General features: G+C 42.8%; 1 long non-coding RNA gene across 1 annotated transcript in view, besides 2 other annotated features; it reads right to left on the reverse strand.

Annotated features, from left to right (window-relative positions):
* Positions 15,971-16,185: a silencer, noted in NCBI's record as "fragment chr12:116237066-116237280 (GRCh37/hg19 assembly coordinates)". NCBI's record gives its function as "represses an EF-1alpha promoter that drives an FKBP-Casp9 reporter gene in an ReSE screen in K562 erythroleukemia cells {active_cell/tissue: K562}" and the evidence as "EXISTENCE:reporter gene assay evidence [ECO:0000049][PMID:32094911]".
* The window catches only part of LINC02463 (long intergenic non-protein coding RNA 2463), an 80,288-nt gene continuing 75,038 nt past the window's right edge, over positions 22,693-27,942 (reverse strand). The window contains exon 5 of the long non-coding RNA XR_001749337.2: positions 22,693-27,177. This is a non-coding gene — a long non-coding RNA (long intergenic non-protein coding RNA 2463). The remainder of the gene's footprint in view (positions 27,178-27,942) is intronic.
* Positions 26,405-27,604: an enhancer, noted in NCBI's record as "BRD4-independent group 4 enhancer chr12:116247500-116248699 (GRCh37/hg19 assembly coordinates)". NCBI's record gives its function as "activates an origin of replication core promoter dependent on BRD2, P300/CBP, MED14 and CDK7 cofactors, and independent of BRD4, by STARR-seq in HCT116 cells {active_cell/tissue: HCT116}" and the evidence as "EXISTENCE:reporter gene assay evidence [ECO:0000049][PMID:35650434]".

Consider the following 27,942-nt stretch of genomic DNA (forward strand, 5'->3'; position numbering starts at 1 on the left):
GCTCTATATTTTTAAGTGGACCCTATAACAGGTAAAACTTTTTTCTCCAAATGAAAATCCACGGTTCAACAACATGCATTTCCAGCAAATCAAAAAGGTAGTTCCAGCCAGCTGGCTAGGCTCCCTCTTAAAACTCAAGGGTAAGGGCAGCAAGTAACCAAATGGACCAACAGTTCTTCTACGGCATAATGGCAACCCAGCACAAGGCAAAGTCAAGTCCTCACAAAACATCAATTCTGGGACTCTCTCTGGACAAACGAACATGAGCAGCCTCAAACCCGAGATCCTTGTAGATAGGGAATATGAATTCTATGTCATTTAGACTTTCACCTACCTAAAGGGATGTATAAGAATGTTTTCATACTGCTTTAAAGAACTGCCTGAGATGGGGTAATTTATAAAGGAAAGAGGTTGAATTGACTCACGGTTCAGCCTGGCTGGGGAGGCCTCAGGAAACTTACAATCATAACAGAAAATGAAGGGGAAGCAAAGCACCTTCTTCACAAGACAGCAGAGAGCAGTGCTGCGTGAAGAGGAAGAGCCCCTTATAAACCATCAGATCTCGTGAGAACTCACTCACTATCAAGAGAACAGCATGGGGGAAACCGCCCTCATGATTCAATTGCCTCCACCTGGTCTCTCCCTTGACACATGGGGATGATGGGGATTATAATTCAAGATGAGATTTAGGTGGAGACCCAAAACCTAACCATATCCGGGAGAGAATTCTAGCTTCCGATAACATTAAGCATCTTCTAACTTTAAAATGTACAGGGGGAAAAGGCAGATTCTCAAACCATCCTTCTAATGCTTGATTTCTCAACAGCCATCACAATAATCTATGTCAGGGCTGCGAACAGGAACCCCCTGAGGATGTCAGCTATTTCAACTTCATCCAGGATCTGAGACCCTTCTGACTTTAACCCTCCTAAAGAGCAGGGACATTCTCAGGCCTGTCTCAGAGCATCTGAACTCAAGACATCAAGCGATGAGCAGTTGCTGAAAATTGAATTTTCTGACCGCAAGGTAATAAAACTAGAAATTACTTTTTAAAAAGTATTTTGAAAAACCTCGACCACTTAGAAATTGAAAGGCACTCTCCCAAATAATTTGAGACAAAGGGAAAGTCAAACCCAACAATTACAACAAAGAAAATAACAATAATAAGAATACTGCATACTTTTTAAATCGCAGGGTACGTGCCCAAAGCTGTAATTAGAAGCAAAAGTCATAGTATTAAATGCTACTATTATTATATTTAAAAGAATAAATAAAAGTAACTCAGGAAGTTAGAAAAGAATAACACAAAGCAAAGTTAAAAGGGTTATTAACAAAGGGAAAAGGAGAAATCATAAATTTGCATTATAAAAATTCAAAACGAAGATACAGACAAAGATCCAAGAGATTTAATCAAAAAAAAAAATAAGCAAGATACACATAATTAGGAGGAAGAGAGTTGGTGCAATAACCACTAGGATGGAAAAGATTAAAAAATAGCAAAGCCTCTTGATCATGTGCAAAAATCTATGTTAAAAAGTTTGCTGCATCCAGAAGGTTAACATTTTAATTATAAAAATAGTTCTCCCTATTTCTAGATAAAGCATACTAGTAATAAATTGGAAAAACAACGTTTCCATGATAGAAAAATGTGAAAAAGACATGAATAGGCAATTCAGAATAGAATAAAAACATACAGGTAATTAACATTTAAGAAAATGCCCAACCACATGGTAAATCAAGGAAATAAAAGTAGAAAAAACTGTGATGTTATTTTTCCCCCTAACAATCAAATTAGCAAAGTTTTGGCTCTGTGGTGGTTCTTGCTTTGAGTGACTACATCCAGAAAGAATAGAGATGAGGTGAATTATTATAGATGCTCTCATACATGAGTGAGAGGAACATAAGTTGGCAAATTAATTTATCCCTTCTGAAAAATGTTGTGTAAGCATCTCAGGTGAATGTCTAGCAACTTCCCTTGAAGGGAGATACTCGATAAACACTATGAAGCAGGACCTGATTTCTACAGATTTGAGAGTTCCAAGCTACCAAGAGAGTCAACTTGAGGCCAGGAGTTTGAGACCAGCCTGGCCAACATGGTGAAATCCCGTCTCTACTAAAAATACAAAAATTAGCCGGGCATGGTGGTGCACTCCTGTAGTCCCAGCTACTTGGGAGGCTGAGTCAGGAGAATCCCTTGAACTCGGGAGGTGGAGGTTGCAGTGAGCCAAGATCACGCCACTGAACTCCAGCCTGGGCGAGAGTGAGACTCCATCTCAAAAGATAAGAAAAAGAAAAAGAAAACAAGGTCTTTAGAAAGATAATTAAGTTAGAGTGAGATCATTAGGGTGGGCCCTAATCCAATGCAACTGGTGTCCTTACAAGAAGAGAAAATTTGGACATAGACAGGTACAGAGGAAAGGCCTTGGGAACACACAGGGCGAAGGTGGCCACCTGCAGGCCAAGGAGAGAGGCCTTAGAAGAAATCAACCCTGCCGCAGTTTGATCCTGGACTTCCAACCTCCAGAACTGGGAGAAACATCATTCCTGTTGTTTAAGCCATCTAGTCTGTAGTACCTTATAATGGCAGCTCCGGCAAACAAACACTCTAGGTGTGTTGATAATTTGTTAGATTAAAAAAAGCCAAGTTATAAAAGAGGACTTAAGATATAAGATTTGTGTAATTAAATCATACATCCAATGTGTATGTGCATGTGTGCGTGAAAGTGTATTCCCACAGAGGATAATGTTTGGAATGTTATAGACCAAAATGTTCAGAGCGGCCTTTCTCTGGACTGGGGGGATTACAGGTGATTTGAGGGAGTAAGGTTGTAGTTTGTGTTCTTTCTAATCAACACTACTTGATCAGTGACCATATATTTACTGTGATATTCAAAAATATTTATTTTTTTTTATGTTTCTTTCTATTCTTTATTAATGTCATGAAGTAAATCACTAGTGGATGATGTCTTTTAACTTTGTTTTCCTAGTTACCTCTTTTGTGTTGTTATTTTGTCTTTTTTTTCTTTTTCTTTTATTTTTTATTATTATACTTTAAGTTCTAGGGTACATGTGCACAACGTGCAGGTTTGTTACATATGTATACATGTGCCATGTTGGTGTGCTGCACCCATTAACTCATCATTTACGTTAGGTATATCTCCTAATGTCATCCCTCCCCGCTCCCCCAACCCCACGACAGCCCCCGGTGTGTGATGTTCCCCTTCCTGTGTCCAAGTGTTCTCATTGTTCATTTCCCACCTATGACTGAGAACATGTGGTGTTTGGTTTTTTTTGTCCTTGCGACAGTTTGCTGAGAATGATGGTTTCCAGCTTTATCCATCTCCCTACAAAGGACATGAACTCATCCTTTTTTATGGCTGCATACTATTCCAAGGTGTATATGTGCCACATTTTCTTAATCTAGTCTATCATTGATGGACATTTGGGTTGGTTCCAAGTCTTTGCTACTGTGAATATTGTCGCAATAAACATATTTAAAATGGCATGTACATATCTAATAATAATCATAGACTGCCCACATATGATACCATGTGCCAGGCACTTACTGTTCTATCTATTTGAACTCATTTAATCCTCACCATCACCCCACAAGGCAGGGACTATCTCCATTTTCCAGATGAGGAAACTGAGGTAGAGACAGGTTATGTAACTTGCCCAACATTACACAAAGCTGACAAATAGCAGGGCCGGGCCACCAAACTAGTTGGTCTGGCGTCATGTCCATGATCTTAGCCACAAAGCTATCCTGCCCCACTCTAGAAGCCTGGTGAATTCATTGGCTTACTAAGAGTTTATCTGAGCAAATTTGGTTGAGTGTGAGATTTGATACAAGCATGCATGAGCACACACAAACATACTCAGCAACATTTAGCTGTTCTTCGTGGTTCATCAGAGTACTAGAGTCCTTTCCATTTAAGGTTCACAATTTAATTGGATTCAAGACCCCATACCTGACAGGGTGACACCGCTCTCGTTAATATATGGAGGAAGATCTCAGATGCTCCACTTTCCCGAGTTCCAGGGAGCTGACCTGTATGCTCTTGAGCAGGGGCAGGGTAAGCAACCCATTCATATTTTATAAGTTTGTTTAATGGAGCCTTATTTTTTGGGCTATGTATTTTTAAAGACTGCGTAGCTTAGATTGATGGAGTCGCTACACTGATTCTCCTCTTACAAGCCAGAGGGCTGGAGGAAGCTCAGCCCTTCTGGGGCCCAGGAGGGACAAGAAAGAGTCGCAAATGGACAGAGCTACCTAAATGCCCATCAGTAGGGACCCGGTAAAATAAATTATGTTCATCCCCGTAATGGAATCCATGCAGCTGCTAAAAACAATGAACTAGAGCTATAGGTACTTTCAAGGAAGGGTGTCCATGATAGATCCTTAAGGAAAAAAAGGCAAGTCAAAGGTCATTAGAAATAAATAATATGATGCTATTTGGTGATAGAAAATTGTATGTGGTGTGTGTGTGTGTGTGTGTGTGTGTGTTATAATAACTAAGGATTTGGAAAGTGGTTGAACAGACTAGCGTTCACATCCCAGCTCCCTTACTAACTAGGTGAGTGACCTCAGGTTTCTTAACCCCTCTAAGCCCCAGTAGCCTCATCTGTAAAATAAGGGGACACCTAGTTCCCATCCCGTGCATAATATAGCCTGAAGACAAAAGGAGATCGTGCATGGAAAGCATTTTCATGTGCTTGGCACGTATTAAGCACTCAAAACACACTCGTTCCTCTTCTTCTTGGTGCATAAAAAGGGTGCGTAAGAACATCTGCCCATCTCTCCCACTGTTCATTCCTGGAAACTGGTGAAAGAAGACTCACTGTTCACATCATACATTTACACCATATTTAAATTTCTACAGTGTGCATGTTTGATGCTGTCATTAAACATCACATTGTAAAATTCTGTAAACATGCACATTGTAAAATTCTGTAAAATGTGCACATTGTAGAATTTTAATTGTCATTAAAATACAATCAGGTGGACTTTTTTAATAAAGGAAGCTGACTGTCCTTTCAAAAGGAAACATATGAATTCTGAAACGTCCAACAGTCTCATTTCCTGTGAGCTAGCTGGACATCGCCACACTCCTGGGGCAGGTATCCTGGGTGGGATGGAGGATAGCTGAGTGAGTCTTTCTGAATCTCTTCGGTGGGAATTGATGAGGGTATTTGCATATTCCCAAGATATATTGCATTGGCAATAAAGTCCACCCTAAATTAATCCATACCTGCCCCTATTTCAGCTCAATTCAAGCCTTCTAAACAGATGAGGCTGGGACAAGTCAGCAAACGTAAAACCATTCAGGGGCCGTGAGAAGAGATGTAATGGTGAACAACAGCAACAACTTCCTGAGCACTTACAACTGTCCAGCACTGTGCTAGATACTTCTTCTGTGTCATCTCATTTCCTATTTTATAGAAACTCTTTAAGATAAGTAGTGACTGGTGCCCTTTTTACAAAGGAGGCAACTGAGGCTCAGAGAGTTAGTGATACTTGCTCAAGGTCGCACAACACACAAAAAAGCCAGAGCTTGATTCCAAGTCTACCTGGTCACAAAATCTAATCTTCCCTGGGGGGCACAGTAACAACCTGTGTATTCTGTCATAGGGAAGAGGGGATGGACTCTTAGCATGGGAAATTAAAGACATAAATATTCCCTGCTATCTAAATAATTGTACAAATTTGGTTATATTTGTGACTCCCCCTCTCCTTGAAATTTTCAAGATAGTCCCAGTTCAGTATTTCCCAAATTGTTTCTGGGATACCGTTTTGTTTTGTATGATACTAGTAAGTGTTCTGTAAAGAAAGGGGTTCTAAGGTCTAGTAATTCTAGGGAACTTAAGTTCTAGGAGTTTAAGCACATTTGACTTCCCAAGAAGGTGCTATTGAGCCTAGCATTGCCCAAACTTATTTGGTCATAGAACCCTTTTCTTGGGAAGCATACGCCAGAACAGAATTTGCTTAGACAAATGCTAACCTAAATAAACATGCTTTTATTTTTCTTGCTTGCCTTTCCAAGTACATTCAAAATAGCACAAAAGTGTTTAGATCTAAAACTGCAGGAAAAAGTTTCCAAGTCTTTCCCCAAATCATCCCTATGCCTCCAGAAATACACAGTATTTTATATACACCTGGATATAAGACTATGCCAAGTATAAGACGTCCCTACATATAAGGAGAGCCCACGCAAAAGAATTTTTGACCAACATGAATTTACAAACTTCTAGGGAATAGATGAAAGAGTCAAATACTTATCATGTGAAATTTATCAATTTGATGTATTTTTTCATTACATGCAGTGTAAAATAATGTTGATGTAGAAAATCTACTTTCTCCCATTCTACATCTCAAGATCCCTTTTTTCCCTTTTATTGATATACGATAATTTACATATTTATGAGGTACAAGTGAGTGTTTGTTGCATGCAAAGAATGTGTAACAATAAAGTCAGGGTAATTGGGGTATCCATCACACTGTGTGTTTATTATTTTTATGTGCTGGTATCACTTCAACTCCTCTCTTCTAGCTACTTTGAAATACACATATTATTGTTGCTAAGTATAGTCATCCTAGTCTACTGTCGAACATTAGAACTTAGTCCTTCTATCTAGCCGTATATTTGTACCCATAGCAGACGTCTCTTCATCTCCACTATCCCCCACAACCTTTCCAATCTCTGATATGAATCATTCTATTCTCTACATCCATGAGATCAAGTTTTTTAGCTCCCGCATATGAATGAGAACATGCAGTATTTGTCTTTCTGTACCTGGCCTATTTCACTTAACATAATGACCTCCAATTCCATCCATGTTCTGCAAATGACATGATTTCATTCTTTTTAGTGGCTGAATAGTAGTCCATTGTGTATATATTTTCTTTATCCATTCAGTTATCTGGAGGCTTCTATCACATTTTCTTTATCCATTCATCCATTGATGGGTATGTAGGTTGATTCCATATCTTTGCTACCGTGAATAGTGCTGCAATAAACATGCGACTGCAGGTATCCCTTTGATATACTAATTTCTTTGTTCTTTGAATAGACCAGTAGTGGGATTGATGAGTCATATGGTAGTTCTATTTCCAGTTTTTTGAGAAATCCCCATACTGTTTTTCAGGGAACAATTTGATTCCAATTCTTCGCCTGCATCTTTTTCTTAAGAAAGCCACTTTTTGTACTCTCTTATACAGCATTTCAGTGCATGTCATGGTTGCTTCTGCCCAAGTTATTTGGAAACACAACCATTTTAGACCCATGCATTGTACTGTCATTGAAAATGTTATCCCAGACTGCAAGTACCAATACTCATAACATGGGTCCAGCTGGGCCAGTTATGATTTTCCCCCTGTTCTTCCTCTAGGTGTTTGTGATCTCCGCAACCTAACTACTTACAGAGTTGTTCATAAAGTGAGCCTTGGAAGTCTGGTTTACATGACATCAAACACTGGCAGGTCTGAGTCACAGTTCCTGAAATTAGTCTTAAGTCCTGTTGATTCTAATAGATGAATGCTAGATGCTTCCAGAGAACTAGCTTTGATATTGAAGTTATTCCCAAATAGGACTTCACTGGTGTAAATAAAATAATTGTGGGAGTGGACACTACAGTGTCCACTGGACACTGTAGTATTTCTGGACAGCTACAGTATTTATAAAGGGAAGACTTCACTTCTAAGAGGATGACTCTGCTCCATCAGCAATGAGCAGGTTAAGCTAAGCACAAGCTTTGCACTCAAGCTCGGGAAGGAATCAGACCTGATGTGGCACGGGCCTCTTTCTGCCTAGGACCAGGAAGAGTGAGGGCAAGAAAGGAAAAATTATTGATATAAGGAAAACACTCAATTGCAACCTCATGAGTAAATGGGCCATTTATCCCCCAGTCCGGAGTTCCTTGAAAAGGTGACCGTCCATCAATCCCTCCTCTGAGCTGCCCCTTGATGAGCTGTTCTATCAATGGGCTAATTTAGCTGATTACAGAGGAATTTGAGAGGAATGGGCCGCCAGAGCCTGGGTCTGGGCCAGCAATGCATTAACTCAGCCAGTGTCTCCATCGCCCTCCACTTGGGACCGATAGGGGCGTCTTATTCCTGAAAACATGTCCCATGATGTGCTTCTGTTAAACTCAGCTCCAGCTTATCAGGTGCTAGGGTGGAAAACCTACTGCTATGGGGCATGGACTGTTCTGTCCTCTGAGTCCTTGGTGGGGGAGGATGACCTCTGGGACCAGTGCCAGGCTATTCTCGGCTCCTGGTCAGCAGCATGTAGACACCCAGCCCTCTAGGAAGGGAATGCAGAAGAGATGGAGAGGCCTAGGCTGAACCATCATTGCTCCTTTAATCCCCTGACTTTTGACAGCATACAAGGCTTGGAAAATGCCCCACCCTTCTTCAACACTGGAGGGCTAACTCACATTCAGGTGAAATGGATGGACAATCATAATGGGAATCTCTCTACTCCCCCAAAAAACAATTGCCTTTAAAAATCTCCCCCAATTTCTTCTAAAAGCTCCTGCAACTCCAATTGTTTGGATTAAAGTGCTTCCCTATTTAGATATTCCACTTAAAACATTGTACTGTTAGCAATTTACACTTTAGTACAAATTAGTCTGTCCACTCTATCTAACACTCTGGGAACAGGGTATAGAATGGTAAGTTTCAAAGACATAAGTTGATCCACAGGAAAGGAGGGCTGAAGGGTGCTACAAGTTAGAGAGCACAAAGACATTCAATTCTCTGCACAGATGGAGCACAGCAGGTTCAATGGAAGGAAAGGAAAAGGAAAGTACTCAAAGAGGAGGAAAGAGGACCCAGGTAACACGCTTTTTGCATTCTCAGTTTTGCTGAGAGGGACCCCAAATCTAGAAAATCATGAATCTTCCAGCTCAAGTTCCCATTTAAAGAATAAGGGAGCAGCTTTATAGAGGTGTCTATAAGGTGATTTGGAGTACCATCAGTCATCTTCATTAAGAAGAATTTGAAGCCATCCTACCCCCTTTTGGTGCATTTTCCTCAAGTGACTGTGTTGGGATACAAACAATCCCATTTGTTTATTTCTCCAACTTAAAACCCAAGCCCATTTATATTAAGAAGTCTTTTGAGTGAAAGGAACCAAATTGAAACAGCTTGAGCAAAAGAGAAAATGCATTGGCTTGGGTAGCTTTCGAGTTTAAAGGCCCAGGTTTCAGTCATGGCTTGATCCAGGGGCTCAAATGATGTTATCAACAATCTGTTTCTTTTCAGCTCCCAGGTCTTCTCTCCACTCTTTGTTGATTTTATACCCAGACAGGCTCTCCATTTGTGCTTCCCAAAAAGGCTGCTAGGAGCTCCAGACTCCCATTCAGCCGGCTTAGAAACCTGATAGAGAATAACTCTTTCCTAAAAGCTTCAGCTGAAGCCCAGAGCTGATTCTCACTGGACCCATTTGTGTTTCACACTCATCCCTCAATCCATCACTGGGGCTCAGGGATGGATTACACAGACTGATGTGACCCAGCCTCATGCCCAGCTCTGCATCTAACTGGAGGTCCGCCCCCAACCCCAAGCCATTGACTTGAGAGTAGAAAGAGGTGGTCTTCCAGTGAAAAATCAAAGAGCTGCTTCCAGATGAAGAAGCGGGAGATTCAGGGCAGGGACACAACAGGGTCCCTTTAAGGCTCATAAATAGATTAGTGCAATAAAGTGTACTGGATTCCCACACGGGAAATTCTAGAGTCCAGTAGGAGTGAATACAGAGGCAGGAATAATTTCAGTGATTCCAATAGACCTTATCAAGACAGGTTAATCTCCCTGTAAAGTTTGAGCCCATTTCCTGATGTCCTGAAATCTATTAATCATTTTGGGTTCCCATCTCAGCTGGCCTAACCAGGGCTTAAATGGCCTACCAAAGACTGCAGCTAATGAGAAGAGATTTGGCCACATAGGAAGTGTATGGGGTTGGGTTCCAGGAAAATGGGTTTCTTTCTTCATCTTAAGGAGTAACTCTACAAAAGCTGAGTGGCTTCTCTAAGTCCCTTGCTCAATTCAACCCACATTTACAGAGCAACATAGAGTGGTGGGTAAGAGCTTCTTTGTGATCAAAGCTGTGTTGAGATTGGCAGCTCTTCTGTGTGACATGGGGCTACTGACTTAACGTCTCTGAATCTGTTTTCTCATTCATAAAATGAGGTTGAAGAGCCTCTACCATATAGACTCGTTCTAAGGATTAGATTAACAATATGTTCAACATTAACTGAGCACCTACTCTCTGCCAGGATCTCTGGAGCTTATCTCCTAGCAGGGGAAACAGACAGTAGACATTAAGAAATAGTAAGTTATTTTGAATGTTAAAAGTTAAGTGCTGGCCGGACGCAGTGGCTCACACCTGTAATCCCAGCACTTTGGGAGGCCGAGGCGGGTGGATCACGAGGTCAGGAGATGGAGACCATCCTGGCTAACACGGTGAAATCCCGTCTCTACTAAAAATACAAAAAATCAGCTGGGCCTGGTGGCAGGCGCCTGTAGTCCCAGCTACTCAGGAGGCTGAGGCAGGAGAATGGCGTGAACCCAGGAGGCAGAGCTTGCAGTGAGCCGAGATTCCACCACTGCACTCCAGCCTGGGCGACAGAGCGAGGCTCTGTCTCAAAAAAAAAAAAAAAAAAAAAAAAAAAGTAGTTAGGTGCTATTGGAGGGCAATAGAAATGGTGGAAAGGCCGGGCATGGTGGCTCATGCCTATAATCCCAGCACTTTGGGAGGGAGGCCAAGGCAGGTGGATCACGAGGTCAGGAGTTTGAGACCAGCCTGGCCAGCATGGTGATACCCTGTCTCTACTAAAAATACAAAAATTAGCCAGACATGGTGGCATGCGCCTGTAATCCCAGCTACTTGAGAGGCTGAGGTAGGAGAATCACTTGAACCCGGGAGGCAGAGGTTGCAGTGAGCCGAGATCACGCCATTGCACTCCAACCTGGGTGACAGAGTGAGACTCTGTCTCAAAAAAAAAAAAAGAAAAGAAAAGAAAAAAATGGTAGAAATAAGGAATAAGGATGGAGGAGAGGAAAGTTGCCATGTTGAATTGATTAGGGTGAGTTTCACCAAGAAGATGAATCTGAGCAGAGACACGAAGAGAGTGAGGAAGTGAGGAGGTGGGGAAGAGCGTTCCCGTCAGAGAGAACAGCCAGTGCAAAGGTCCTGAGGTAGGAACATGTTGTCTGGTACAGTCAACTGCAGCGAGGAAGCCACTGTGGCTGGAGAAGAGTGACCAAGGAGGTGGACAGGGAACAAATAAGGATACAGTTCCTATAGGGCCTTGTGACCACTGTCAGGACATGAACATGGGACATGCTTAGTGTGGCCTGGCCCAGAGAAGACTCCAAGAAGTGGAAGAATGGCAACGAAGGTGATGGTGAACATGCAAACAATATGATGTGCTGTCCAGCACTCCAGCAATAACATCCAGGCTAACACAGGCGTACCCTCACCTTCCTGAGCTGTTCTGAGGATGGCAATATGAACATAAGCCATTTGCACTTTGAACCCATGCTGAGAAAATTACTCCGTAAACATAGGGTGTTTCCTGCCATCACAAGTCTTTATCATGTGTCTGACACCATTATCACCAAAAGGTCACCAGGTGGCACCCATTAGCAGGGCTAACACTTCTGCTTAAGCGGCCCAGTTCTTCACTTCCTCCTGATATCAGCAGAAATAACCCTGAATCCAACCTATCTGCCCCATGAATAGTGTGTGTTCCGCACTCATGGCCTTTTGCTCAAACCGAGTGGGCCACTACCTGGGTAATGTGTTGTATACTTATCCAAATTATCTGAATATTATTGACACCAACTGACAAGGCTCCAGGCTACCAGTATTGACATCATCAAACCAGCCACCTATCTCATCTTGACTCTTGATTCCTGGAAGCTACCACAAAGTGTAGCTAATTCTTCTCAGATGGCTATTGCCCCAGCTGAGTGGTACCATAACACCGTTTCTCCAAAGAGACATTTCCCAGACTTTTCCAGCACACAGACAGACTGCAAATGAGGTTGTCGAGGCATCCTGGAAGAATGCCTTCACCCATTCCCTCTGAACTGGCTCAGTGAGCCTCTTGCTTCACCTAAACTCATTTTCCAAATCCATTACACGGGGAAGGCTCATTCTGAAATTTAAGTCTGATACTGTTGAAGTATCCCATGTCTTCCTAATTCCCTTGGGAGGTCCAGATTCCTTAGAGCTCCAACAAAGCTTAGGCTCTTCCTGCCTCTCCAGCATCATCTTCCCCAGCCCCCATTCACCTCCAGCCAGGCTGAGAACCAGGGGCCTCCTGTACATGCATGTCCTTATTGTACATGCTGTTCCCCCAGCCTGGCAAGCTCCCACGTGTCCAACTTACCCTCCTCCACCTCCTCCACAAATCCTCAGTTTACCCCCAAATCTAGCTGGGAGTCCCAGCCACAAGCACCCTGAGCATCCTGTCTATAACTCCCTTGCCACTTCCGTCGCATACATTGTATTGTGTTTTGAGGTGTCTCTCTCATCTGCTGGACATGGTACCTCATTCATCCTTGAGTCTCCACCTTTGAGAAAAGATTCTACTCATAGTAGATGCTCAATAACTACTTGTGGCTTGCACAGAAGAACCAGCGACCTGTTTGATTATATGTCATCCTCACTTTAGCCTCTGAAACAAGTGTAGACGTATAATTGCTAGCAGGCTGTAGCAGGCTGGTTCAGCAGACCTGGGTTGGGAACTCTGATCCACCTTTTATCAGCTGTGACATTGGGTAATTCAGTCTTTTGAGTATCAACTTTCCCATCTCTGAAAGTGGTAGTATGCACCACTTCTTATGTCTGTGGTGAGGATTAAATGAGAAATTCTAGTGCATATTCGATGAGGGTTAATCATTATTTTTTATATTCTCTGCAATCAACTAAATGGTTACCATGTCCAGAAAGCTAGGGATTCCTGTCTACGGATTCCCATCTACGGATTCCCTGATGTATCCCAAATGCCTATCACAGTGCCTGGCACATAGCAGGTGCTCAATAAACATTTGCTGAAGAAATAAACAACCTGGTATTTCTAGACTGAGGGAGAAGCTCCCTGTATTCCTAGAATTTTTAGTTTCAACTGTAGAATTCTCAAGATATCATTTCCCCATTCCCAGAGACACTGATTTGGCAGAGTTTGGGTGGAGCCCAGAGACCTGCCTGTGAATGGGTTTCCCATGATCACTCAGTTCTCCATCATTTAGGAACCTTGACACCAGATGATTCAAGTCTCATTACCTCCTCCTTTTCTCACCTCACCACTATCCCTTTCCAGTTGCAGTCATCTAAAAGCCCAATCTTGGTATCAGTAATGATCATTGTGCTGGGGCTAATATTATTTTTGTGAGGCACAGAAACCCAGCAAAGGCTTTTAAGTGAATACTTGGTAATAGAACAATCAAGTTAAAAGATCAGTGTGACACAGAGCATGAAATAGGAAAGTATCGTGGTCAATTGATTTGGACCACACTTACGGGTTTGTGAAATGAATTTCATTTTCTGGACCAAATGGAAGCCCTGCTTATAAATCACTGCCGGTCTTGGAGATTAATAAAGGAAACAGGCTTGATTAAGAATTCAGAGCATTGGTCCCATTGCAGATTTATAGACCCAGAGGTCTTGCCACAGAGATTTCAAGAGGCCCCACCTGTTAAGTGTCATTTAGGAAGATTAACCCCAGGGCTTCTGGCTAAGAATTGAGGACAGGGCCTGAGCCCTGCCTGGGATGGAAGGTAGATTCTAGGAAATGCATTTCTCCATGCTTTTCTAACCCTCCCAGAAAGTTCACAACTCATGTGCCCTTTGATATAACATTGTGTAGAATTTTTCCTAGATTCTGGACAGATGGAAATTTTTATTTAAAACCCCTTCTGCATCTATCTCTACCAAAACTTGGCAGAGCAGAGTTGACTCAAGATTGGAAATTAAAAACAAGACAAATGCAACAGTGCGGGGGTAGTAAAGGCGTTTAATTAAATCAACTAAATGTAAAAGATCTCCATCCATTCTCTGATGCTTGCATAACCCTGCACATGGAGAGGTTTGCATCTAGTGCTGAGACGTTTGGCATTTGAGAATATTTTTGAAATTCCTCATCTGTCAGAAGCTGATGTTGGCCAGGCATGGTGGCTCACACCTCTAATCCCAGCACTTTGGGAGGACAAGGCAGGTGGATCACTTGAGGCCAAGAATTTGAAACCGGCCTGGCCAATATGGAGAAACCCTGTCTCTACTAAAAATACAAAAAATTACCTGGGCGTGGTGGCACTCACCTGTAGTCCCAGCTACTTGAGAGGCTGAGGCACAAGAATCGCTTGAACCCAGGAGGTGGACGTTGCAGTGAGCCGAGATTGCACCACTGCTCTGGGCAACAGAGTAAGACTTTGTCTAAAAAAAAAAAAAAAGAAAGAAAGAAAGCTGATGTTAAAGACCAAAAAGAGAGAGCAGAGCTTGTGAAGCCAGTGTTAGGAGAAGGGACAGGACCACTTTAACAAGTTTGTTGGGACAGAGCCAACTCATGTATTTTGGTGAAATGTCACGGTTTGGGACCCAGTATTTGCAAAAGTGTGCTCTGCAAACCAGAAGTTATGTTATTTTAGCATTCCACTCTATAATATTATTGGCCCTGATGGTTTCAAATCCAGCACAAGTTAGAAGTCAGAATGGTGTTACTAATGTCCAGAAGGGAGCGTGAGGTGGGGTTCTGAGGTGTCGCTAGTGTTCAGCAACTCGATCTGGATACATTCAGTTTGTGAAATTTTATCAAGCTTTACAATGAACATTTTCACTTTTCTGATCACCTATATTTCAATAAAAAAGTTAGAATTTTTGAAAGCAGCAGGAAAATGAATGGGTACATCTGATTATTCTGCAACATACTAGCATTGCTTGAAACTGAAAACACCAATTAGGAAGCCTTGTATAGCAATTCCTTTCTTCCCTCCTTCCCTTCCTTCCTTTCCTTCCTTCAACAAATCCTTTATGCCTACTCTGTTTATTCTACATGACTCTGTTTCACTTTCTTCAGAGCACTTGTCATTATCTAAAATTATCTTGTAATTTGTTTTGCTTACTGGTGTTGCACCTGTCCCCCCTCCCCATAGAATGCAACTTCATGAGGGAAGGTACCTTGTGTTTCTCATTCACCACTGTATACCCAGGGCCTAGCAAGTGCCTGGCACAGAGCAAACACTCAATGAACATCTGCTGGTTTCACAAATCAAAGAAATCAAGGCAGCATGCTAAGCCTTGGACTTTTTCCCAACGCGTACATCAATTGTAGTGCTTGGTTGCATGGTCATTTTAAACCTGCAAAGATTACTGAACCTCTACAAAGCTCTGGAATTGTGGCAAAGAACAAAACAGAAAGTCCTGTGCACCCTCCTAGAGCTTAGAGTTTAAAAAGCAATTAAGGTAACAGGCGATAAGACTTGTAAAAGGGAAAACATAAAGTGCTGCTGAAGATCGGGAAAAATGCACTTAGAAGTGAGACAGAGGCTGGGCATGGTAGCTCATGCCTGTAATCTCAACAGTTTGGGAGGCAGAGATGGGAAGGTCACTTGAGGCCAGGAGTTGGAGACCAGCCCGGTCCACACAGTGAGACTCCATCTCTATTGAAAAAAAATTTTTTTAATCTATTTTAAAAATAAGGGAGACAGAAAGAAGCACATGCTTAGTAAAGAGCTGGGTCACCTTGATGGCAGGAGCTAGAATAGAAACCACAGACTACCTTCTGAGCACCCTAAAGTCCCTCTCATCAGGAAGCTTTCCTGGGTTCCCTATATATTTGCAAGGCCACGTACCTCGACTAAGCCTAGGTCAGAATCTCTTAAAAGGTTATGGACTTAACTGTGTCACCTCTAAATTCATATGTTGAAGCCCTAAACCCCCAATGTGACTGTTTCGAGATAGAGCCTTTAAGGGGGTGATTAAGGTTAAACGGGAGTGTAAAGGTGGGGTCCTGATCTGATAGGACTGCTGTCCTTATAAGAAGAGGAAGACAAATGGCCAGGCGTGGTGGCTCACGCCTGTAATCCCAGCACTTTGGGAGGTCAAGGCAGGTGGATCACTTGAGCTCAGGAGTTCAAGACTAGCCTGGGCAACAGGGCCAAACCCCATCTCTACACATATATATATACACACACACACACAAAAGAAATTATCTGGGCGTGGTGGTGCATACCTGTAGTCCCAGCTATTTGGGGGGCTGAGGCAGGAGGATCACTTGAACCCATGAGGTCGAGGCTGAAGTGAGTCAAGATTATAGCACTGCACTCCAGTCTGAGGGAAAACATAAGATCTGTCTCAAAAAAAGAAGAAGAAGGGGGGGTTGGGGGGGGAGAAAGAAGAAGGAGGAAGAGGAGGAGGAGGAGGAAGAGGAGGAGGGGGAGGGGAGGGGGAGGAGGAGATGACACTGGAGATCCACCTCTCTCTACGCACAAAGGAAAGGCTATGTGAGGACACAGCAGCAAGAAGATGCCATGTGAAAGCTGAGAAATAAGGCCTCACCGGAAAGCAGCCCTGCTGGCACCTTAATCTTGGACTTCTGTCCTCCAGAACTGTGAGAAAATAAATTTCTGTTGCTTTGTGGTATTTTGGCGTGGCAGCTCTAGCAGACTACTACACCCCGTGTATCTGATTTTGTGGCTTTTAATTACATGTATTAGCTGGGACTCTGCTAATGCTGCAGTACCACAAAGGTCTTCATGAGAACAGCTTTTATTCGCTCAGTAAGAATAATTCACCATCAGTATATTAGTAGATAGCCTATAAATTCTGCCAGAAACGAGAAATCGAAAGGCATTATTGGAAGTGGTTTAAATATTGCCCCTGTTACGTTGCTTACCATATCTTTCTTCTGGGTCGTCCATTCATCCAACAAACATTTACTGAATGCCAACCATATACCCAGAAAAGAGCATTGACCAAGTCCTTCTCTCATGGGTCTGTGCCTGGCCAACAGGAAGACCAAGAGAAAGCAATTCAGGCAGAGGATACAAGTGCAAACTCCTGAGACAGAAATGAGATCATATAAAAGCCACTTTGGTCAAAACTTAGAATTATCACTGAGTTTCAAGGGTGGAGCATATGCTCAATAACTATTTGTTGCTTAAACAGAATGTTTAATCATATCCCACGCTCACCTTATCCTCTGGATCTGACACAGGTATACCAGAATTCCTAGAGCCCTATAGTGGGCTAGATCCACAGATATGGGTTTGGATCCCTGCCCTACCTCTTGTCAGTATCAAGGGCTATTGAGGGTCTAGTATACTTAGAAAAGGAAGCCAACATTTAATGCTGTTGGATACTATGTATTCAAACTTTCTTGTGTTACCCAATCTTGTTATCCAAAGTGTGGTCTTCAGACCAGCAGCATCAGCATCACCTGGAACCTTACTAAAAATGCAGAATCCAGGCCAGGTGCAGTGGCTTATGCCAGTAATCCCAGTATTTTGAGAGGCCGAGGTGAGAGGATCATTTGAGCTCAGAAGTTCAAGACCAGCCTAGGCAACATAATGAGACCCCCGTCTCTCCAAAAATTTTAAAAATTAGCCAGGCACAGTGACTCATGCCTGTAGTCCCAGCTACTTGAGAAGCTGAGGTGGCAAGATCACTTGAGCCTGGGAGATGGAGGCTGCAGTGAGCAATGATTGCACCACTGAACTCCAGCCTGGATGGCAGAGTGAGACCCTCTCTTCAAACAGAGAGAGAGAGAGAGAGAGAGAGAGACAGAGAGAGAGAGAGAGAGAGAGAGAGAGAAATGCAGAATTCCTGGCCCTACCCAGACCTACAGAACCTGAATTTTTTCTTTTTTTGTTTTGTTTTGTTTTGTTTAATTTGAGATGGAGTCTTGCTCTGTTGCCAGGCTGGAGTGCAGTGGCACGATCTTGGCTCACTGCAACCTCCACCTCCCAGGTTCAAGTGATACTCCTGTCTCAGCCTCCAGAGTAGCTGGGACTACAGGCGCGCACCACCACACTCAGCTAATTTTTGTATTTTTAGTAGAAAGGGGTTTCACCATGTCGGCCAGGATGGTCTCAATCTCTCGACCTCGTGATCCACCCACCTCGGCCTCCCAAAGTGCTGGGATTACAGGAGTGAATCACCGCACCCAGCCCAGAATCTGAGTTTTAGTGGATTCATGCAAACATGATAGGTTGAGGCTTGTTGCTCTAGAAAACACTTTATATCCATTATTTTATTTCATCCTTGGAAGAAAGACATTAAATGTGGACTCATGTCAAAAATATGACAATGTCATCCTCTCCCTCATCTTCGATTCATACCAACCTTTTTTAATAGCCTCCGAGAAATACAATGACCATGTGGGCTGCAGAGACAAGATTCAGGAGGAAGATTTGGATCTGAAAAGAGCTGTGAATGCAGGAGGGCCTGGAAGGAAGGAAACTCAGAAGTGTTTGGTCTCCATTTTTTGCTTGGTTTGTCCCAGAAATCACAGTCAAATAGGGACAGATTCCCCTGAGATAAACAAAGACCAACCAGCTCTCACTGAGTCATGGCTTGTGTGCTTTAAAGGGAGCAAGGGAGAGTGCTTTGGAATAAGCTCTTGTAATGTTTCAGAGAGCGGACAATTATGAGCATTGGTTACACACTGCTTCAGGGTCTCCAGGCCTTCCGGGCCAGGGGTCTGTCTTCCCTGGGGAATCAGACTGTGAATACTCGTGACTCAGTGTTATCTTTGGTAAGTAGGAAGCCCTAGGATTTGATTAGACCCAGCTGGTGCAGCAAAGGGTCATTTGTCCAGAAAATTAGGGCTGTCTTGCCTGCAAAGCTGTAAGTGGGAAAAGTGCAGGGTCAGTTGAAATGGTTTCAGTATCCATGGGCCAAATTAAAAGGCACAAAGCAGAGTATAATCTATAATTCAGGAGTCCAGAAAGAGCAGGACAACTACATCAGAGAGAAAAGCACACACATGCAGGATGGGTTCCATTGCCTGAACGTCTTCAGGAAAATGATTATGATTATTTTGCACAGGAAGGAAAAATGCTTCCAAGAATCGAAGAAGGACACTGTTCAGAAGTGCTCATAAGCTGGCATAAGAGACAGCACAGGAAGGGCCCGAGGATCTATTTTACAGATCGGTAAAGGTGCTGACAGCACAGTCAATTACTCGGGCAATTTTCTAACTTCAGAGCATCATCGTAAAGGTAGATTTTTCCATCCCCACCCCTCAAATTCCTCCTCTCAGCATAGTCAATTTTGCTGACCCTCCAGCAGCAGACTGAAAGAGCAAAAAGATGAACCATACACTAGGGTGGCTCACAAAAATCCAGAAGCTTCCCCCTTGACCACCTCCTCCCCATCATTGGATTGGGATGAGGATCAATCAGGGAGGAAAATGCATATCCCACCTCCAAAGTCACAGGAGTGGAAAACCACACCCTAGGCAATATAGATTCACATACAGATTCCACTAAGAGTCGTCTAGACCAGGAGTCAGCAACTTTTTTTGTAAAGGGCCAGATAGTAAGTATTTTAGATGTTGCAAATCATCAGGTCTTTCCATTGCAGCTCTTCAACTCTGCCATTGCAGGGTGAAAGCAGCCATAGATGATATATAAGTGAATGTACATAAAGAGTTTCAATAAAACTTTATTGACAAAAACAAGTAGTGGGCCAGATTTGGCACACAGGCCAGAGTTTGCCAATCGCTGACCTAGAAAAATGTAGCCCTATCTTCTCATTGTGCAGATGGATAAAGCAAGACTCAGGTGAGAGATGACTTGCCCAAGGTCACACACCTCGGTAAAGACAGAGCTGTAGGGGAAAGCCTAAAATGTTAACTCTATCTTCTAAAGCTCTCTCTACCATACCACATGGCCCCCCTGTTTCTTCTTTCCTGCCTTCTTCCCCTTCATTACTTGCTTAACACCGGGGGTACCATATGCAAGCAAACAGTGCCTGTATGCACACAGCTTTCAGCCTACTGCTACACCAAGAAACCATTTTTTAAATAAGCTTCAAGAATCAGCATTAAGTTTGTGTTGGTTTATAAATGTTAATATTCTAAAACCACTGCAATTACATTATTAGAATGGTGCTGTCCTGAGGCATGCACTACCCTTAATATGTTTTCTTTTTGTAAATATGTAATTATTTGTGGATTATTCAAATAATTGTGTTCGTTGAAAGGAAATTTTTTTTAATGTAAATAAGGCATGGAGAAAGAAATTGCTCACTATCCCATTATTCAAAGATACCCACATTAGCAATCTGGTGTGATTTCTTCCACTTTTTCACATAGCTTTACATAGGCATGTATAGATATGAGTGTATATGTGTGTGTGAACATAAACGAGTGTGGTGTGTATTGGGGGCGCAACAAAAATGGGATCCTTCTCTATGAACCACTTTGCACAGACATAACGTTGCTTCTGTGGTGAAACGCCTATTCATTCCTGTCAAACAACTTACAATAAATTTTTGGAACACAGCCTGCTCTTGAGTTGTCATTTGCCTACATTTCTTTTTTTTTTTTTTTTTTTTTGAGACAGAGTCTCACTCTGTTGCCCAGGCTGGAGTGCAATGGCACGATCTCGGCTCACTGCAACCTCCGATTCCTGGGTTCAAGCAATTCTCCTGCCTCAGCCTCCTGAGTAGCTGGGACTACAGGCGCGTACCACCACGCCTGGCTAATTTTTTGTATTTTTAGTAGAGACGGGGTTTCACCGTGTTAGCCAGGATGGTCTCGAACTCCTGACCTCATGATCCACCCACCTCGGCCTCCCAAAGTGCTGGGATTACAGGCGTGGGCCACCGTGCCCAGCCTTTGCCTAAATTTCTTAAGAGCCTTTGGGGCCTAAGAAGAAATAGTGTTGGTGGTGGTTGGGATGCGGCAGGCATGACTTTGTTGGTCCAGATATAAACATACCACCATTAGCAGAGAGCAATTCTTGCAAAGATCTAGACCCATGAGCAACCAATGATAAATAATCCATTGCAGGGAAATAATTTTGGCATGGGCCTCCGGGGAGTGGACTGGGATCTTTTTTTAACATTCTCCATCTCAATTTTATGAATCTGACAGGCAAGTAAAACATAAGACCCTCCTATATTGGGAGACTCAAGGTTGTGGCAACTGAAACCCCAGTGGTTTCTTCCTCTTTGAATGGTGCCTCATGTTGTATGAACCATCTGTGTCTTGATCCAATTCAAACAGGACCATTTTCTGAGGCTGGCAAAGGGAAGTTCTGTGATCTGTATTGATTAATTCTATCCAGCCATTTTGAAGCCCTGAGTATACACGTGTAATCCTGAGGATTTTCTCAGCTGTGGGCAACACAGGCCAACTCTGGATTACATAAGCAAAGCAGGACATTCGTGTAAGATGAATGAATAGGCTCATGAACCCTGAAGAAGGGACTCAGGAAAGACAGGAAGCAAGGCATTGTGTCAAGGGACGAGGAACCAATAGTGACATTCTTCTGGGCATGATTGTCTGGGTGAATCAGCTCCAACCCATTTTCAGTCTTTGCATCACTCTACTCAAGACTTCAATTTCCAGGAGTGTCCAGCTGATCTTCCTGGGTCTCATTCTCACCCCTTTACTAAGGAAGGAACAGCACCTTGATCAACATCCCCAGCTGGGGGCGAAAGTGCTCCCAAAACAAAACTAGAGTAATATTCCTAGAAGGAAAAATCATGCTAAGCAGGCAGAAATCACATATGTCTGCCACTGTGGGTAATATGCTAGGATAATAAGCTAAAATAGACTGAATCTCACACTGCACAGATATATGGTTGGTTTTCCTTCCATAGCCTAGACTCCCCTTCTTCCTTAGAACCATGATGCCTGGGGATGTGGCCGGGGACGGCGGTGGGTTGGGGGAAGCTGTGTTTCTCAGCTTCCGTTACAGCCAGGTGTAATCATGTAATTACATTCCAAGTTTCAGTCAAAGCAAAAGCAGCTTTGCTTTTTCTTCTGACTGAAATAAGAGTATGATGGCTTGAGCCAGAGCAGCCATCTTGAGCCACAAGGTAACTTTGGATGTGGAGGCCATCCATGGCAAAGCAGCAAGTTGATCTTGACTGTTTACCTCTGAGCTTTTAAAAGGGAGAGAAATAAATATCTAGCTTATTTATGAAAACAAAATGTGGAGGTTTGTTACAAACAATCTAATCCTAAATAATACAGGGTCCATCTACAGCAACTGCTATTAAAGAGGAAAAGCAATGGGAGATCTGGGAAGCCAAAATCCTGAGGTGTATGGAGATGGAGAATCAGGGAAGGCTTCATGGAGTAGGCACTTGTGGGATGGAAAAGGGACAGTAGTGAGAAATGGGTCCATTAGTCCAGCCAGTGAGGATGACTGGGGAAAGACAAAGAGTAGAAGGGTTTCATTGAATGTACGGGACCAAAACAGATCTTTCATGCACAGGAAACTCATCAAGATAACATCAGAAAGGAGGCTGAGTTGGTCTGATTCTAGATAGTTCTGAACTCTAAGAAAAAGAGTTGAAACTTTGTCCTGCTGGCCAGAGTTCAACAAATTTTGTCTGTAAAAGTTCAAATAGTAAATATTTTAGGTTTTGTGGGCCTCATACGGTCTCTGTCACAATGACTTCACTGTTGTCATCACAGTTAATACACAATATGTAAATGAACAGTCATCACTGCGATCCAACAAAACTTTATTTATAAAAACAGGCATCCAGACTATAGACCTTGGCTTGCTGACCCCTGCTATAGGCTTAGGGTCCCCAAAGTATGTCCCTTTGGCCACGTGTCCCTAGAAATGGTTCAACAGAAACATGGTTCTGTTAGCAAATGAGGTTGGGAAATGCCCCATTATTTATCCATCTCCTAGAGAGTCACAGTGCATCTTTGTATGGTAAAGGCTCTGATAAGTCCTGCAGCAAGGAAACCTACTAGACCTTGTTTAATCGCTGCACTTCCCTAGCTTATTTTAAAAGACCTCTTTAGTTTCAAAGAAGAGACTTTGGCAGCCTTGTATAACTGATGATGGGACCCCACTAAACCAAAGGTTTCCAAAAATGGGTCTGTGGAAACGTTTCCACTGGCTCCCTGTGAAATGATCAAAGTTACATCATCAGTCTAGTCAGTTTTTCAAAATGAGAAATTTATTTTATAGCTCTGTTCTTAATTTTAAAATTATATCCCTTCTGCTTTGATGTTGAATTTTTTATCTCCTATGAAGTGATGAATTTAAAGGAAGGTAGCCATTATTCTATTAGATGTACTTATTAGGTGAAATAAAAACCTGACAACTCTATGACAAGCCCAGATAATAGCTTTGCATTGATTTTTACTTGTGAAATATAGCACATATACAGAAAAGAGCACAAAATATAGCTGTACAGCTGAACTATCACAAAATGAATACCTGTGTAACCACAATTTAGGTCAAAAAATAAAATACTGCCAGCACCTCAGAAGCCCCTCTGCTAGCACTTCTCATCATCCCCTTCCCCCTCCCCAAAGGAAAACACCACCCTGATTTCCAACACAAAGTCCTGCCTTTAGTTTTCTATTCCAAATGGATTGTAAGTGATATACTCTTTCATACATGGGTGTTTCTGTCCAACATTTTTCTTTTCTTTTTTTTCTTTCTTTCCCCTTTCCTTCCTTCCTTCCTTTCTTCCTTCCTTCCTTCCTTTCGTTCCTTCGTTCATTCTTTCTTTCGTTCTTTCTTTCGACAGGATCTCACTCCATTGCCCAGGCTGGAGTGCAGTGATGTGATTTTGGCTCATTGCACCCTCTGCCTCCCAGGCTCAGGTGATCCTCCCACCTCAGACTCCTAAGTAGCTGGGCCCACAGATGCATGCCACCACACGTGGCTAATTTTTGTATTTTTTGTAGAGACAGGGTTTTTCCATGTTGCCCAGGCTAGTCTCGAACTCCTGGCCTCAAGCGATCTGCCCACCTCGGCCTCCCACAGTGCTGGAATTACAGGCATGAGCCGCTGTACCTGGCCCCAATATATTTCTAACATTCCTCCCTGTTGTCGTATTTCACACAGATCAATTCATTTTTGATGATGCACGGTATTGCACTGCATGAAGGGCATTCTGGTTGCTGCCAGTTTGGAGCTGCTACAAAAGTGCCACTGAGAACATTTTGTCACTTGTGCACACATTTCTGTTGGATATATACATGCACATACACACCTAGGTGTGGATTTGCTGGATCACACACATGAATATCTATTTTGATTAGGTTAATTGTATGTTCAAGGACTCTCCCAATCAATGCCTATGGAATCAGTGAACACTTCCCCCTTTCATTCCTGAAAATGAGCTTGTTTGGACAATAAATCATAAAGCCGCCCTGTCTTTAGTGGAGAACACCAAACTGCTTTCCAAAGAGGTTGTGCCAATTACACTCTCACCAACACTTGTGAGAGTTTGAGTCACTCCACATCCTTGCCAACACTTAGTATGGATAGTCTTTTAATCCTAGAAACTCTGGTGCATGTCCTTAGTCTGATATTGTTCGTCTTTTCCATCTAAGCCATTCTGGTGTGTGTGGGTAGCATCTTATTGCAGCTTTAATGGGCATTTCTCTGACTCCTGATAGGATTGAGTACCTTTTCATCTATTTATTAACCATTCAGATGTTCCCCTTTGGAAAATCCCTGTTCAAGTCTCTTGCATTTTTCTACTGAACTGTTCTCTCATTTTCTGATTTTGGGAGATCTTAAAATATTATTCACAGAACCCCGTACCAGTCATAGGCAGTGCAGATATTTTTCCAGCTCTGTGAATTGCCTTTTCATTTTCTCAGTGTATTTATAAAAGTTCTTGCTGGTCTAGGACAAAAAACCAAACACCGCATGTTCTCACTCATAGGTGGGAATTGAACAATGAGAACACATGGACACAGGAAGGGGAACATCACACACCGGGGCCTGTTGTGGGGTGGGGGGACGGGGGAGGGGTAGCATTAGGAGATGTACCTAATGTAAATGACGAGTTAATGGGTGCAGCACACCAACATGGCACATGTATACATATGTAACAAACCTGCACATTGTGCACATGTACCCTAAAACTTAAAGTATACTTAAAAACAAAAAAAGTTCTTGCTGGTCTACGAAATCCAGTTGTCTCGAGTTCTTTCACTGCTCTAAAAACAAGGACGGGATGATGCCCTGTTCCTCTGTGTTTCCCTAGACCAGAGCTGTCTAACAGAACTTTCAGTGAATGATGTGGCTAGGGAGCACATAGGCACGTCTCAGTGAGACAGAGCAACTGGTCTTTAATTTTAATTTAAATGAGCCACACGTGGCCAGTGGCTACCATATTGGATAGCACAGTTTCAGAGCCTGGTACACTGTAAACAATGAATGTGTCTGAGTACTGAGTAGGGAAATGGCTTGAGGAAAATGGCCTGTTTGGAAGAATAACCAATCTGAAGAATTCGGCTGAAACTCCTGGGCACAAACACAATAGGTTCTAAACTGTTCTACATTTATTCTTTCCTACCACCCCCAAAATTCAGTTTCCACACAGCAACAGAACAATGATATTAAAATTCAGATCCAATTATGGTTGCCCCTTGGTTAAAACCCTTCACTGGTTTCACATCGTCCTTCATAGAAATGCCACGTTGTGTATTAGAGACGCCAGAATCTGGTTCCACCTGCTTCATCTTCCACCCTCCCCTCTCCCTGGTTCCACCTTCCCAAATGTGTCACGCTCCTTCCTCCGTTGGGGATTTTGCACATGCTAGCTCTTCTTCCTGGGTTTTGTTTCTTTTTCCCTCTCTCCTACTCTCCACTCCCTCCTCACCTGACTGGCACCTTCCCCTCTGCATTCGTTTGCTAGGGCTGCCATGACAAGGTACCACAATGGGAGTGGATAAAAACACAGTTCTGGAATGTGAAAGTCCAAGATCAAGATGTCATGCTCCTTTTGAAGGTGATTTGCTGGCAGTTTTTGGCACTCCTTGGCTTGTGGAAATACCAGCCTCATCTCTGCCTCCTGTTCTCATGTCCTTCTCCCTGTGTGTGTGTGTCTGTCTCTAAATTTCCCCTTTTTATAAAGATACCAGTCATATTATAGCAGGGGCCCATCCTACTCTACTCTAACCTCATCTTAACTAATTACATCAGCAACAACACTATTTCCAAATAAGGTCACATTCTGAGGTCTAGGGGCTAGGACTTTGACAAATGAATGCTGGGGAGAAGAGGATGGAATTGAACCCATAACAACAGTCTTCCGGTCTGAGATAAAATGTCCCTTACAGAGACAGTTTTCCCCTACTTCCCAGACCAAGTGCCACCCCTCCCTCCCCCATCATTATACCTGTGCGTTGCCTTTGTGGCACTTCTCAGAGCTCAAATCAATTATTTGTTTTATGTTTGTCTTCCACCACCAGATTAAGTTTCATGGGGAAGTATCTGGAGGAAGTATCTCCAAGTACTGGCACACAGAGGGGCACAGAGTAGGACTTCTAACCATTTTCCACCAATGGACGGACCAGTCACAAACGAGCCACAAAGTGCCATGTGATGTTTACCAGCTCAGATCCCAGAGGCAGACAAACTAGGTTCAAGTCCCAGCTCTGCAACATCTTAGATGAACGATCTCGGGCACGTCACTGACTTTGTCCATGACTCAGTTTTCTCCTCTGAAAAATACCTCCTCCATCAGGTATCAAGTAAGTGAATACACAGGAAAAGTATAGATATCAGTACCTGGTGCAGAGCAAAAACCCAATGAGGTTAGTTAGCACTTCAGACAGGGAATGCCGAAATCAGCATCTTCCGTAACAACGCTCCCTTTCAAGACAATTCTCTCATTTCACAAGGTCATCGTCGTCAGTGTCCTTCCATCCCTGCGTTTTGCGTTCTGGTGGGTTTGGCCATGCTTCTGATTGGAATGCAATTTCATGCGGTTTGGGACGAGACGTTGTTCCTTGAAACTTCCGCCCCATGGCTCTCTCGAGATTTCTTGGAGATAGAAAAGTAGATTTGGCTCTGTTCAGAACCTGTTTGAACATTCGTTGCACATACTTCAAAACCAAGACCTTTGGACTTCTCACCCATTTACTCTTGGCAAAAGGCAGCTTCCTGCTTCTGAGAAGTTAAGCTTTCAAGCTTAGGGAAAAAGGCTTTTTGGACAACAAACAGCCCTGTAAAAACAATATTTTGATGAGTTAAGTGTAAATGAATCAGAAACACATGGATTAAGCTTCTCTTGATGTACACATGGGTTTAATAATTATTGGGGGTGGGAGAGAAGGGAAATGGGGCTGGAAAAGCTGTGTCTTGGGTTTTATCAAATCTAAAATGTTTGAGAAGTAATTCAAGACATTCCACAGACCCCCAAGTGTAGCCAAATTTTCCGATTCCACTTCCAAGGAGCCACACAGGATCTTTCTAGTAACAACTGAGTGCTCTACAGTGCCAGGTTTTCATGGCTTCTGATTGGCTGGGTATAGAGCTATGATTTATGAGACCATTCAAAGATTTATATATTGCCGTTATAACAAATTCCTTTCAAACGGAACAGTGCCCAAATGCAGCTTTAAAAATATCTTTCCTGTTAGAAGCCTCCTTTCTATTCACAAAACTCTCCTTCTTTTCCTTTTCCCCAGCCCCTCCTTAAACCACAGATCCCCCCACGAGGTCTCAGACCAATGAAGACTGAGGGAATTAATTTTACCATGACTGAAACGTGTTTCACTTTGGATTGAGTTTTAAATGACTTGGGTCTATATAAACTGAGGGTCACAAGAAGGTTATAGCTAAAGGGCTTATAAGTTAGGTGAAGGGTGGAAGGGGTGGAATTTTATAAATGCTTATTGCTTTCATAAAAAGAAAATTAAGTTGTGTTCGTGCCGAACACAGTCAAACACTTAATATATCAGGGCACACTGTTTCCTAGAGGAAATGTT

Source organism: Homo sapiens, chromosome 12 (assembly GCF_000001405.40).
Source record: "Homo sapiens chromosome 12, GRCh38.p14 Primary Assembly".
Classification (NCBI taxonomy): domain Eukaryota; kingdom Metazoa; phylum Chordata; class Mammalia; order Primates; family Hominidae; genus Homo; species Homo sapiens.